General features: G+C 39.8%; 1 protein-coding gene and 1 long non-coding RNA gene across 16 annotated transcripts in view; one reads left to right on the top strand and one right to left on the bottom strand.

Annotated features, from left to right (window-relative positions):
• PLS1-AS1 (PLS1 antisense RNA 1) overlaps positions 1–14,213 on the top strand; it is a 60,902-nt gene that overhangs the window by 29,455 nt on the left and 17,234 nt on the right. The window lies entirely within an intron of this gene.
• The window catches only part of PLS1 (plastin 1), a 117,272-nt gene that overhangs the window by 86,309 nt on the left and 16,750 nt on the right, over positions 1–14,213 (bottom strand). For 9 of the 15 annotated variants that reach the window (XM_047448321.1, XM_047448326.1, XM_047448328.1 and 6 more), the window contains exon 1: positions 3,794–3,932. The exons of 5 other annotated variants lie outside the window; for them this stretch is intronic. The gene's annotated coding sequence lies outside the window, so the exon portion shown is untranslated. Of the gene's footprint in view, positions 1–3,793; positions 3,933–7,717; positions 7,904–14,213 lie in introns of those variants that run through there. One more of the 15 variants, XM_047448323.1, reaches the window with a different exon arrangement.

Below are 14,213 nucleotides of genomic sequence, written 5' to 3'. Positions count from 1 at the left end.
ATTATTCCTTACAGAAACTTCCAACCAGTGAGTATTACTTAGAAGGATGAGTTAACAGGCATATGTCAGTACAAAAAAGTAGGTACAAAACTAAATGTGGTTAAAAAAAAAATCCCCTTCCCAAACACCTAAAAAGTCATCTAGTCCAACTCCCTGTTTAACAGATAAGAAAACTGAGGTCACACCCTTGTCTACTCAGAAGACAAGAGTCACCAAAAACAATGATCTCTACCAGAGTGTAGGAAGTAAATATTAGAACTATGTTTATTTTTAAAACTAAAAGGAAACAAAATTAGCTTTACAAATATTTAATGTGTATATTTTCAGTAGAATCCTAACTTGGTCCTTATGACAAGATCCCATGACACAAACAGTTCAAGGGATATCACAAGAGAGGAGTAGACGTTCTACAAAGAAGAGCCTGGACAGTGACTGTCATTCCTTTTTTCACTTCCAGCATTTGTGATGTTCTACAGTTTGTACATGCCTGGTTGAGTGGATTAACAGATTATATAACCCAGTTGATACCAAAGCTACACTCACTAAATAAGCAAGTAGCTTTAAAAATATGTCTTCAAAGCAATTGGAGACTGTAAAAAATACAAATCATATAAGCATAAGAAAACAGTAGAACACACACCTCTAATCTTAGTAGGAGTCTTTACCAGCTACATCAGAAAACAAAAGAGGAGCAGTGTGATCACATGTTGGGCAAAAAAGTCACAATTATCGAGATTATATAAAATACAACTTTATACTCACTCATTAATAATAAACAGTATCTTGCATACATATTGTACTATGAGATATTAGTTAATGATATGATAAAGTCTTTCCAGTTAACAATAGATTTAAAAAATCGTCTTATTTTATCTTTTTTTCATTTAACTCCTGTCTGCCTTAGTCTTCTCATCTTAAACCCCACTTTATGTTTGGCTGCCAGGATGAAATGATAATGTACAAAAAGCACCCAGCACAATGTTAGTGATGTAGACAGCACTCAAACAGCAGCAGCGAGGGAGTTTGCTCTAGACTCCTGCCCCTCCATCCTCCCTAACAAATCCATGTCTCATTGCTTATTAACATATTGTGTTTGCTAAGATGCTCGCTTCCTGATTTTCCATCGTCCTCACTCTTCTTGTTGCTAAAACTATGTCCCATGCCTTATTTACTCCTGATCTGTCTGTGCTCTACTTGGGAGGAAGTAGCAGTTCCTAGCAAAAGGGGTCCACCACAATCTCTATGAGCTCCCCTTCTTATCCTCTTAAGTTTAGTTTTAGTGGCTCATGCCTGTAATCCCAGCCTGGGCAACATAGCAAGACACAGCCTCCTGAGTAGCATGCATGCATGAATTCATTTATTCATTCATTCATTCATTTTTTGAGACAGGGTCTTGTTCTGTCATCCAGGCTGGAGTGCAGTGGCACAATTACAGCACACTGCTGCCTCGAACTCCTGGGCTCAATCAATCCTCCTGCCTCAGCCTCCCAAGTAGCTGGGACTACAGGCGTATGCCACAACACCCAGCTAATTTTTGTATTTTCAGTAGAGACGGGGTTTTGCCATGTTGCCCAGGATGGTTTTGAACTCCTGGGCTCAAGCAATCCACCCGCCTCAGCTCCCAAAGTGCTGGGATTATAGGAATGAGCCACCATATCCAGCAGCATTTATTTTCATATATACCCTAGTATATATAACCTACACATTAAGTAGAACATGTATAACATATACATTTAGTATATAAAAATTAAAAATATAGACCTTGCAAGTAGTATGTGCACAACATGTTGTTACTGATGAGCTAAAAATTTCAGGAGCCTGGGGACCACCGCTCCAACATTTGAAAAGGAGAAGCATCTCGACCTCCCACCTCAGCTGGAGCAGGTATAGGGATAAGAATTTAGCGGCTTCTGACAGCACCTTGTTTTTCCTGTAATACCGAGAACTGAGTTGGAAACATTTGGAAGGAAAGAGAAAGAGGGAACCCTAGAAACCTCAATTCTAATAGAAGAACATAGTCAGAAATGGTAGCTAAACTTTTATAATTCTTAAAGCAATTGAGGCCCAGACCCAGGGAGTGCCTTAAAATCAGCACTTAGAAGAAAAAATAGGCAGTCAGGCACTCAGTGACATATTCGGGAGTTTAAGAGGTTTGTTTCTGCAGTTTATCCCTAACCCCAAAGTACTGCTCTATTCTCTTTGAGCTCGTATTTCCAGAGTTCCAAGCAATAGTGCCTTTTACAGCACTGACTGTTAAGTCATCACAGAGGCAGACTTTTTTTTAATGGCTAGACAAGGCCAAACCATTAGTAACATTTGTAGCTATGCAAAGAAACCTAATAAGGGTAATCAAATATCATGCTTTGGGTGGTAAACTGATCTAAACTGGGATCATAAAAGAATGTTATCCTCCTCCTCCACAAGAATACAATTGAGCAATTGGTTGATTCATTGTAAAAGGACTGGCACAAAGGCATAGCCTTTGTTGGACTCCAGGTATAATAGAGGAAAGGCAATTCCAGTTCCTAAGAAAGCTATGTGTTTTGTTTTAACTATGTAAAATTTTCCCAGGGCACTCACTTTCCATGGTTAATTGGTCATAATGTGTTCACTTCTCTAACAAGAGTATTCTATGGTGCGTACAAGTAAGTTGACTGCTTCACAAAGCTGAGCAAGTCTTAATTCTCTACTTAGGTTTAAGAGCTCAGGTCACTGCAAAAAGAAAACATACTTAACTTTTTAAAAGCTGGCCTCTTTTAAGAAAACTCAAGACTCTTTAATTCTTTGGCACTGGGGTCTATGTAAACTGCCAGCAGTATCAGTATCCAAGTTTCCTCAACATGCATCATTCAAGATCTTCTCAGCTTTACACAGGGTGGGAACTGCTCATTTTCTGCTTTACTAAGAAAAGAACTTAAGGTAAGGCTGCTACAGCTTCTAGGGCTGCATAGGGTAAAGATATAGAGTTTTTTGGCCAGCCTCAGAAACCATTAAAAATGCTCACTAAAGAGCAACTTGCTCACTTGTACACTATTTATAAGAAAATTATCTTTCTGAAAGCTTTCAGGCCCTTCCCAAATTCAATGAAACAGTGAAAAGCTTTTAAGCAAAGCTGCTATCCCCAAGTACATTTTGGTACTTGGAAATGCTGAAGAACAAATATAATGATAAAGAATTTATTTCCATTTAGATATTTTCTTCAGACTCCAGATGCTTAAACAGAATCTTACACATTCCTAGTACTGGAGATATTCTGTATTACTATGTCTTATCTGTGAAATTTCTCTAGAAAAAAAGCAGAGTTTTGCTTATCCACAATTAAACTATAGACTGGAAGAGCTGTTTCCATCAGACTGAAAGCATCAAGTTTCCAAGCAATAATACACACACATTCTAGATGGCACAGAAAGAGTGCATTCAGTCACTTCAGCATTTTCCTAATAATTTATATCCATTTCTGAAAGGAAAATCAAAGCCCAATCAAGAATTATGAGTCTAATATTTTTATCCAACCCTGAATAAACCAAAACAGTCCTTTCTTCTCTAACCAGTGGTGCTTACAGAAGAAAGTTTTCAAACAGAAAAATGAAGAGATAATTAAGAATTATATTATCTTCACACCAAGGTTCCTATTTACATTGATTATGCAAAGCCATCTAGAGTCCCAAAGCAAGAATGCATTTAAAAAAGAAATACTATGAGGGTGTTTATCTCAATTTAACAATTATATGAAAAAGCAGCCTGGAATCCGAGGCTGTCTTACTGCTATTGACAGAGATAAATTTTTGTATACCTGCTTCTGCTGGTCTTATCACTTGAGATTTGGAAGTCCAGAAAAACAATTCAGAAGACTTAAAATTCAGTCTTCCTAAGCTGTGTCTATCCTCTGCCAAAGTTAGTGTTTGACCAAAGAAAAGAAGCAATTCCACACTGAAGTGTTCTGCCTATTACTACAGATATTAATCTTGATGGAACTTACTCTCAGTAGAAAGGCCAATCTGCAACATGGGTGTGGTTCAGAACCATAAAAAAATCAAGAGGCAAAAATGTGGATGTCATCATCATTCTATTTGATTATAGCTGGGGAGCTTAAAATACATTGTGGTATTCACCTTACCCCTTAGATTTTACCCAAGCAGGTTTTCTTCCTATGGAATGGGACTACCCTATGAGCTTCCATATTCTTTTCATAAATGTTCCTTTGCCACTTTAATTTTAAAATGGCAATGTTGAGCTGGGCACAGTGGTATGTGCTTATAATCTCAGCTACTTGGAAGGCTGAGGCAGGAGGACCACCTGAGCCCAGGAGTACAAGGCTGTAGCGTGCTATGATAACTCCTGTGAATAGCCACTGCACTCCAGTCTGGGCAATACAGCAAGACCCTATCTCTTAAAAAAGAAAAGAAAACGGCAATATTGTTTTCATCATGTAAAAAATCATGAAGAATTAATTCCCAGAAATAATTAGGAAATTGTAAAACCAAAAACAAACAAACAAACCCTAACATCTTACTGAATTTCAATTAGAGTCACTGGACTAATTTCAAGCAAATATCCAAAATTATCTTTGAATAGTAACTGAAAACATGTTATAGTATTATACAGCGTTAAAACCAGAAGATGCCCCACGGGTTATAGTCCAATACTACCATTTAAGTGAGGCAAGAACAGTTTCACTTATAAAATGTATAATGCATTTTCACTGTCTGGTTAATTATCTGAAGGGAAAGTCTAAAACATCTTTTATGATGGCTCCATAAAGGTAAAGAATAGATGTTATAAAACTGCTTCATAAAGTGAAAGAAAAAGTTAAGGACTTTTATAAGCCAGTTTTTTTTTTAAGTACATACAGTACTGTATGATCCCATTTATGGAAATTCTAGAAAATAAAAACTAACCTATAGTGACAGCAGAACAAAGGTTGCTTGGAACAGGGTGAAAGGAGGGATGGAAAGCAAAATACATGAGGAGGCTTTGGAGGAAAAAAGTGTTCTACGTCTTGATTGTGGTGGTGATTTTGTGGATGTATATACCTGTCAAAACACTGCCGGCTGTCCACTTTAAATGGGTACAGTCTAGCATATCTAAATTATACCTCAATGAATGTTAAAAATACACACTCACATTTAAATATTTTAAAGGACATCTGTATTGAAGAAGGCTTATTCTTGCTCTTTATGGCCACAAGCTGGTAGAATTAGGACCACTGGCAGAAGAAATACCAGGAGACAAATTCTGCACGAATGTAAGGAAATATTCTGTCCACGTGGTCCAGAGACAACCCGGACTGCAACAGTGAGGTTCTACACCTGGAACACTGGACCTGTGTGTCCAAAAGCTCAGAGTCAATTTTGGAGGCACACAGGCTGTTGTCTTTGGGAATTCCTACATAGAAAGTTGGATGCGGTGGCATTAATGTTTTTTGCATTGAAAATTCCATTATTTCAAGGAGACCACTTACGGATGGCTGTAGTCCTGCTGCTGTTGCATGGAGTTCTGCTAACCTCTTGACTAAAACATATATTTGCTCTGATTTCCCCCAGGACTTCACTTCACAGGAAAAACCAATTATCTGCCCTATGTGTCCTTTTAAAAAATGGATCCTGTGTGGTTATTTTCTGATTGTTGAAAAGCAATATGCAGCATTAAAAGTATTTGGAAAATAATAAAATCTAAATTGCTCTCAAGCACACCATTCAGAAATAACCAAGGCCAAAATGTTATAAATTTTCAATCTTTCTTCTATGCACATGTGTATGAATATACAATTTTCCAAACAAAATTGATATTTGCTATATATAGTTTTACTTAATATTATTTAAAGTTTTCAGTTTTTGAAAGTATGCCTTTCATGCTTCATAATAGTCCATGTATGACTATACCATGATTTATTTAAGCATTCATATTGCTAACTAAGGTGGTTTCCTATGTTTTACTTTTAGAAATAATGCTTCAGCAAACATCCTTGAACACAGAGGGTAGATGGGGACATTACCCTCTGTGGTATTATGAGGGACATTATAGCCGTGAATCCAATTGCTCTAAGAGTTTACCCATTCCATTCTGTTACAAGTAATTTCAATTTCCACTTTGTTGGGAAATGTCACAGTAGACAGTTAAAATGTACAGTATGGAGACTGTCACTTTTGCTGACAATATATTCTTCTTTAGTATCTACTATGAGCCTAAACCAAAATTCCAGGAAAAAAATACTGAAAAAATTTTTAATTTGATCTCAGTAACAACTATGTAGAAAAAGATATGGTGCCAAGCCACTGATCAGGGCCAAGTGTATGGTGCAGTTCTTGTTTGCTCTTTTATTTTATTTTATTTTTTTGAGACAGAGTCTCACTCTGTCACCCAGGCTGGAGTGCAGGGGTGCAATCTCAGCTCACTGCAACATCTGCCCCTCCCAAGTACAAGCATTCTTCTGCCTCAGCCTCTCTAGTAGCTGTGATTACAGGCACCTGCCACCGCGCCCAGCTAATTTTTGTATTTTTAGAAGAGACAGATTTTCACTATGTTGGCCAGCTGGTCTTGAACTCCTGACCTCAAGTGATCTGCCCGCCTTGGCCTCCCAAAGTGCTGTGATTACAGGCATGAGCCACTGCACATGGCCTGTATGGTGCAGTTTTAACAGCCTATGAATATTTGAGGCGTAAGTATTTTGAACCATCACAAGTACTCAATAAATACTAGAAAATAATAAACTGAATCAAAGTTGTATCTGTAACTCAAACTATTTGATAAAGCAAGAACATTTAGAAAAGAATTTACTATTCCATGTTTAAATGCACCTTCGGGGCAAGAGTCACGTTTTTAAAAAAATCTCTATAAACCCATAAACATTTGCTTAGAGATTTGTTTCTAAGATTGTCATATCATCTGTGAGAATATCTTTCTGCATCTTAAAAACAGTCTACTTCTCAGGCTTGGCACGGTGGCTCACGCCTGTAACCCCAACACTTTGGGAGGCTGAGACGGGTGGATAACCTGAGGTCAGGAGTTTGAGACCAGCCTGGCCAACATGGTGAAACCCCGTCTGTACTACAAATACAAAAAAATTAGCCAGGCATGGTGGCAGGTGCCTGTAATCCCAGCTACTTGGAAGGCTGAGGCAGAAGAATCACTTGAACCTGGGAGGCGGAGATTGCAGTGAGCCGAGATCGTGCCACTGCACTTCAGCCTGGGTGACAGAGCAAGACTCTGCCTCAAAAAGAAAAAAAAAAAAAAGTCTACTTCTCAAACTTCTGAAGCATCAGGGTAGTGATGACCCCTGAGAATGACAGCAACTGGAAAGCAACCAGAGAGTTTCTGGGCAGCCAGGAGTAATTCTGGTTTCTCGATAGGGTGCTGATTGTGGGAGTAGCCATTTGTGAAAATTCATCAAGCTATATACATAATTTTTATGTTTTTCTGCATATATACATCACATTAAAAAATAGAAGAAAAAAGTCCACTCCCTTGCCCATTATACCTCTGAGTAATCTGACAGAATATGAATTAACATATTTAGAAAAAGATGAATTGGAAACCTCACCTCTAAAAATCCCAGTTTTACTTGCTTATATGAGACATTATTAGCAATGTTCTTTTGTTTAGAATATTCTAAGGACACAATACATACACACATCTTGCAGACTTTTGGTATAAAGATAATACAATCAATTACTTAGATTTAGTACTTCAAATCACTAAGTAGTTACAAAGTACTTACTATCTCCAAGATGCTGCAGGGGCTTCTTTAATGCTGTACACATTTATGGAGGAAAACATCTTAGAGAAGAACTCAAAAACAGCCTTTGGAAATCTGGCAGATGACATGGATTCTTTTTAGCATTTTACTTCAGTTTTTGGGAAAAATGAGTAGAAGCCATACTTTTAGCATCTTGGAAAATGTTTCCTAGAATAAGTAGGTGTCAAAACTTGTCATAAATATGTATCATAGATAAATTGGTAGACATAAGGGCACACCAAGCAGCTGGAAGTGCATGAACAAAGGTGCGGAAGCAGGGGAGCATATGGCAGGCAATGAGTCACAAAAAGCAAATATTCTGGCTGAATGGGTGTGCCTCTCTCATATCAGAATTTTTTTCTGAATCCAAGCTACCAGAGAAGCAGGCTTAATGTGAATTGCCTTCCTTTCCTACTCACAGAGATAAATGTTGTGGCAGCTCTGCTTGACTACACAAAAGCCCTGAAACATCCTTTTCAAAACTATTTGTTTTGTAATCTGGCCCTGAAATGTTTTCTATTTAGAAAGATATCCAGTTAAGTCACATTTTCTCATGTACATCAACATGAATGCTTGGAGCCCTGCTGGTAGCGATAACCACCGCTATCTTATTTGTCAACAGAGGCAGACAACACATCTGTGGCAGGCAGGATAATACCCTGTCCCCCAAAGATGTCTGCATCCTAATCCCCAGAACCTGTGAATATGGTATGGTACCTTACATGGCAAAACAGATTTTTGCAGATGTTCATTAAGGGTATGGGCCTTGAGATGAGGCAGATTGTCTTAGGTTATTTGGGCAGGACCAATCTAATCACATGAGTCTTTAAAAGCAGAGAACCTTTCTCTGCTGGCTCAGAGAGATGAAACAGAAGGAGGAGGAGGAAAGATTCAAAGTATGAGAGGGGCTTTACCGACTGTCGCTGGCTATGAAGATGAAGGAAAGGAACCATGAGCCAAGGAATGCAGGTGGCCTCTAGAAGCTGGGGATGGCCTTCCATTTACATCCAAGAAGAAAACAGAGATCTCAGGTCTACCATCAAAAGAAACCGAATTCTGCCAGCAACCCAAATGAGCCATGAAAACGATTCTCCCCTAGAGCCTCCAGAAAGGAACGCAGTCCTGCTGTGTTGACTTTAGCCTGGCAAGACCTGTATCAAACTTCTGACCTACAGAACTGTAAGATAATAAATTTGTATTGTTTAAGTTGCTAAACTTGTGGTGGTTTGTTATGGGAGCAACAGAAAGCTAATACAGGCTCAGATAGTTTTATTCAGAATGGGATGTTCTTATCACCTTGGCCTTGGATTGTCCACGAGAGAACAGCTATCACTTGGGAGATGCAGCAGGGTGGGGGGTAGGCAGAGTTTGTTTGAGGGGAGAGATCAATGTTGATTTTACAGTTCTCCTTAAATAAATTTTCCCTCCAATAACATATACATATTAGATGTTAGTCAAATATTTAGTGTAGGAGCTTAAAAAGAAAAACACTACAAAAATAAAAATACTGAAGATTCTGCCAATAATGATGAGCAGGGATACCTTTGTCTTAACCCTTCCTGAGAGACTGGGCCCCAGAGATTACTGAAATAGACATGAAATGATGCCTAGCAATTAGGTGCAGTAGTTGTCTTTTCTTTTTTGAGACAGAGTCTCGCTCTGTTGCCCAGGCTGGAGTGCAGTGGCACGATCTCAGCTCACTGCAACGTCTGCCTCCTGGGTTCAAGCTATTCTCCTGCCTCAGCTTCCTGAGTAGCTGGGATTACAGACACATGCCACCAAGCCGGGCTAATTTTTGTATTTTTAGTAGAGATGGGGTTTCACCATATTGAATCGGCTTGTCTTAAACTCCCGACCTCAAGTGATCCACCTGCCTCAGCCTCCCAAAGTGCTAGGATTATAGGACTGAGCCATTATGCCCGGCCAGGTGTAGTAGTTTTTCATTAATCATAAAATCAACATGTGGATCTTATTTTGAATGCAGATTCCTGGGTCTCAACCCAAAGAGTCTCATTCAGAAGTTTTAGGATGGGGCCTAGGAATCTGAATGAGATCTAAAATAAGGATTTCTGAATTTTTTCCTTGAACAAACGATTAATACAGCTGAAGCACTCCCCATTTCTCCCACCAACTACCTGAGACCTCTGCTATGCTGATCAAGGCCCCAAGTGCAGATTAAGCACAGTTCTTGCAACACAGTAACTATTCAGTTACTATGATGATCACTATCACCATAATTCCATTTTCAGATGAAATCAGAGGCAGCTTGAATTCTTTAGCATTTTTTATTCCTGTAACAGTATCTGGAAAGACTAAACATTTAATGGAAACAAGCTTCCATTCTGGACTGCAAGGACTTGAGCGTGTTTACAAGAGGCTGGCATCCATGTCTAGTTAAGGCTGTATGTACCCAAGGGGGCATAATTTTATTCCAAACCTCTAAAAAGGTTGGCTAAAGCAAAAAAAAAAAAAAATCTTCCTAATCACAACATTTTAGAAATGTATCCCTTTTTTAACCTTAAAATATGAAATGCCAACTATATGGATTATTGTGACAAGCATCTGCCATCACTGGCTATTTTAGTGGCTAACTGGGCAATGGTCCATTGTGATTTGAAGACTGTTGAAACTGCAATTAAATGACCTACTCAAGGTTACAAAGCAATTTGAATAATCTGAACTCCAGATGAATATGAAGGACATAAATAATTGTGTCACTGGCCGGGTGCGGTGGCTCACACCTGTAATCCTAGCACCTTGGGAGGCCTGGGCTGATGGATCACCTGAGGTCAGGAGTTCAAGAACAGCCTGGCCAACATGGTGAAACCCCATCTCTACTAAAATATAAAAATTGGCCAGGCATGACGGCGGGTGCCTGTAATCCCAGCTACTTGGGAGGCTGAGACAGGAGAATCGCTAGAACCCGGGAGACAGTGGTTGCAGTGAGCTGAGATCGTGCCACTGTACTTCAGCCTGGGTGGCCGAGTGAGACTCCATCAATAATAATAATAATAATAATTGTGTCACTAAACAACACACACAATTCAACATGAAAATGAATAGATACAAAAAGCAAATAGTACTGCAGTCCATGCTGACATGATCACAGTCAAATGGCCTGTTGTTGGGGTCACAACTAGAAAAACAAATCAGAGACTAAAAATCTAATCAATAATATAGTAAAATAAGTGATTAATTGTAAAGGAAGAAATACAATACCTATTATTTTCTATATCATTTAGTGTTCTTTCTCTTCCTGCTAGTGTGCCTTCCTCCATCATTCTTTTTTCTCTACCTTATCCTTTATAGAAAAGGTAGAAAACATTAACAAATGAGAAAAGGAGCATCTGAAGAAAGTCTTCATGTTTGCTCTTGCATTTTTTCCTCAAACTATCATCTTCCAGACTACAGGGCAGGATTATCTGTTGAGGGAAACCTTTATCTTTATGTTTCCATGAGGACCTATTGTCAAAGCAGAAGCTTTGGCCTCTTTGCACTTCTTTCTCACTCTCCTCCATAAAATGGGAAATGATTTACCTCACTGGAGAGACAGTAAGTGTCTTGGGCCCACTGACCCTCATTCCTCTACTGCAATAGTTCTCAGACTTTAAATGCAATAGAATCACCAAACGGGCTTGTTAAAACATAGTCTCCTGGGTCCATCCTCCACAATCTTTGATTCAGTTTGTCTGGAATGGAGACGAAAAGTCTGCATGTCTAGTAAGCTTCAACATAATGCTAATGCTGCTTGTCTGGGGACCACACTTTTGAAAAACCACTGCTATACTCAATGGAGCTAAAGTGGTTTTTACAGAGTGGGGTGGGGTAAAGTGTTAAACATCACTGTCCTTACATGGTTTGCCCCTTCCCTCTTCAACATCTGCTTGCCCTCAGGACACAAGCTCTCCTCTTCCTTCACATGATAACAGACCCAGAGGCAATTGTTCACTAGGTTTCCCTGGGATGTGGTGAGTAGACATTAAGCTCCTGGGAAGAAGGATATTAGGAAGGCCATTTGGACACGGGCCCAGGCTGCAATCCTGGTCCACCTCCACCAAGAATAAAGTTGACATTTCAAACTCCATTTGAGAGACCTGTATCTATTTCTCAGTTGGTTCAAAAAATAAAAGGAAGAAGAGTCTGAATTAACAGGCCCCTCAAGAGCATCCATCATGATCATGATTGTGGAATGATCGGGAATATAACTAGGAATTCCAAAGTCTGTGACCTCACTCTGGAAGCACAGTCACCCTGCCTTGTCTCAGCCATAATGCTGAAGCCAGATGATATCATCTGTATACACTGAATAATGTTCTTGCTCCTGTGGAACATGCTTTTACCACCAAAGTAATGTAAATGGAGAGAAGATATACGGTCTTCAAGAAATTCAGCCTACATCACTTCTCTGGGTCAATCATCAACAATTGTCCAGACCATGTTGGCTGCCTCAACAGCTTCCTTCCCACCCACAACTAAGCCAAGACCTGGGGCTATTCTTCAGTGCCTTGGGCACCTCTTAACTACCCCCACTCTACCCTCCTTTTCCATCCTTGGGTCTGGAAGCTCTGTTTCTGTTCCGTGTTCTGCCCACCCTACCCAGATCCTGCAGATGGATGCTTCTCTGTCTCAATTTTCAAATGACACCCTGCCTTGAGACCCGTAGTATAGCCAGGCTTGCCTCACCACTGCCCAGCCCCACCCAGCTGTTGAAGTCCCCAACAGCATTCAACACTTCCAGCCCCTCTTTCTCCAGGAAGGAAATCTAGAGAGCGAAAGATTTTCCTTAAGCAGAATTAAAACACACCCTCCTCCATAAAACAGAAAAAGAAAGCAGCAGATGGAGCCCAGGCCAGGTCTCACACTCTATAGCCGCCATACTCCTGAAGCACCCATCACAGGCTCTTATAACTCCTCCTTCACCAAACTAAGAGCCTCTCCTGGCTGCCAAAGGGACAAAATGGCACCCATGGGCCAAACACTGCCTGGACACATGTCCTCTGTGGCTCATTGAGTGTTGGATTCTTTTTTTAATTTTGGAGCAAATATATAAAAATTAGGAGATTAGCATAAAATTCAGATTTCTGTTTTTTCATTTAAAATCAGAATGTCTGGCAATACTGCACCCACATTCCTGTATGGTAACACTGGGCTAAGCCAGGGTTGCTGTACCCTCTAGATAACATGTGAACCTTGAAGTCTGGCACAGGCCTTGTGATTCCCTGCCATCCTCATTCTTTCACTGCCTTCTTCCACAGAGCATACCTGAATGACCACCCCCTTCTACACATCCTTCTATCCTTGGTAGTTAAGTGTAAGCTCTACTGCCTGCCGCTGCTAATTTCCTGAGCTATCCCTGAGCTGAAATTATATGGTATGGTGCTGTTGAGAGAAAGAACATATGTATTCTTTTTCCTCCTCAGCTGGTGGTTGCTTCCATCTTCAGTCATGAAGCTGTAATTGTACAGATCATGAACGAATAGCAAATCCCAAAGTGGCCTGACTCACAGAGGGTGAGGAGAGAGATGGTAAAGGGACTCAAAATAAAAAGGCAATCCTCTTTTTAACATTTCTAGTTCCTTAAAAGATCTGGACTAATGAAAGAAAAAGTAGCCATATCCTGTATTGTTACAGGACAGCAATTCCATAATCAGAAGGTACCAAATATAGAATTTTATGGTGCAACTAATTTTTAATTATACATAAAGCAAATAAAAGTATGTTGTTTTTGGAAAGACCCTGTCACCTGGTAGTCCTCTTCATTTAGCAATAAGCTCTACTACAGAGTAGCTTAGAGGAGAATTTTTATGTAACAGGAAACAATCACAGTGCAATAAAAGTGTACAAAGATCTTTTCTTGTCTTGAATCATCTGTTATTTGCATGTACAATGAGCTGGTTGAAGATACTACTATGCCATCCTATGACCTCAGTGTTACAGCAAGAGACGCACCCCAGGGTGGCACAAGTGTGGGTATCTTTTGAATTCTTGGTCTTTGCCCACAAGATTAGATTAGTGAGTCAGCATCAAGGTAAATAATATTTTCTTTTCAAAATCCTTCCTTCTCCTTCATACCTCTTTCCTTCTAAGACCAGAACTTAGCTTTTTTCTTTTCTTTTTTTAAGTTGAAAACTTTTTTTTTCTTTTGAGACAGAGTCTTGCTCTGTCACCCAGGCTGGAGTACAATGGCATGATCTCAGTTCACTGCAACCTCCACCTCCCAGGTTCAAGTTTTCCTGCCTCAGCCTCCTGAGTAGCTGGGGTTACAGGCTTGAGCCACCACAGCTGGCTAATTTTTGTATTTTTTTGGTAGAGGCAGGGTTCCACCACGTTGGCCAGGCTGGTCTTCAACTCCTGGCCACAAGTGATCTGCCCTCCTTGGCATCTCAAAGTGCTGGGATTACAGGCGTGAACCACGGCGCCCAGCCCTAAGCCCAGAACTTAAATGGGAAAGTAAACTGTATCTGATCCTACTTCTCTT

This window comes from Homo sapiens, chromosome 3 (assembly GCF_000001405.40).
Source record: "Homo sapiens chromosome 3, GRCh38.p14 Primary Assembly".
In the NCBI taxonomy this organism is placed as follows: Eukaryota; Metazoa; Chordata; class Mammalia; order Primates; family Hominidae; genus Homo; species Homo sapiens.
This window is presented reverse-complemented; position numbering and strand designations above follow the sequence as displayed.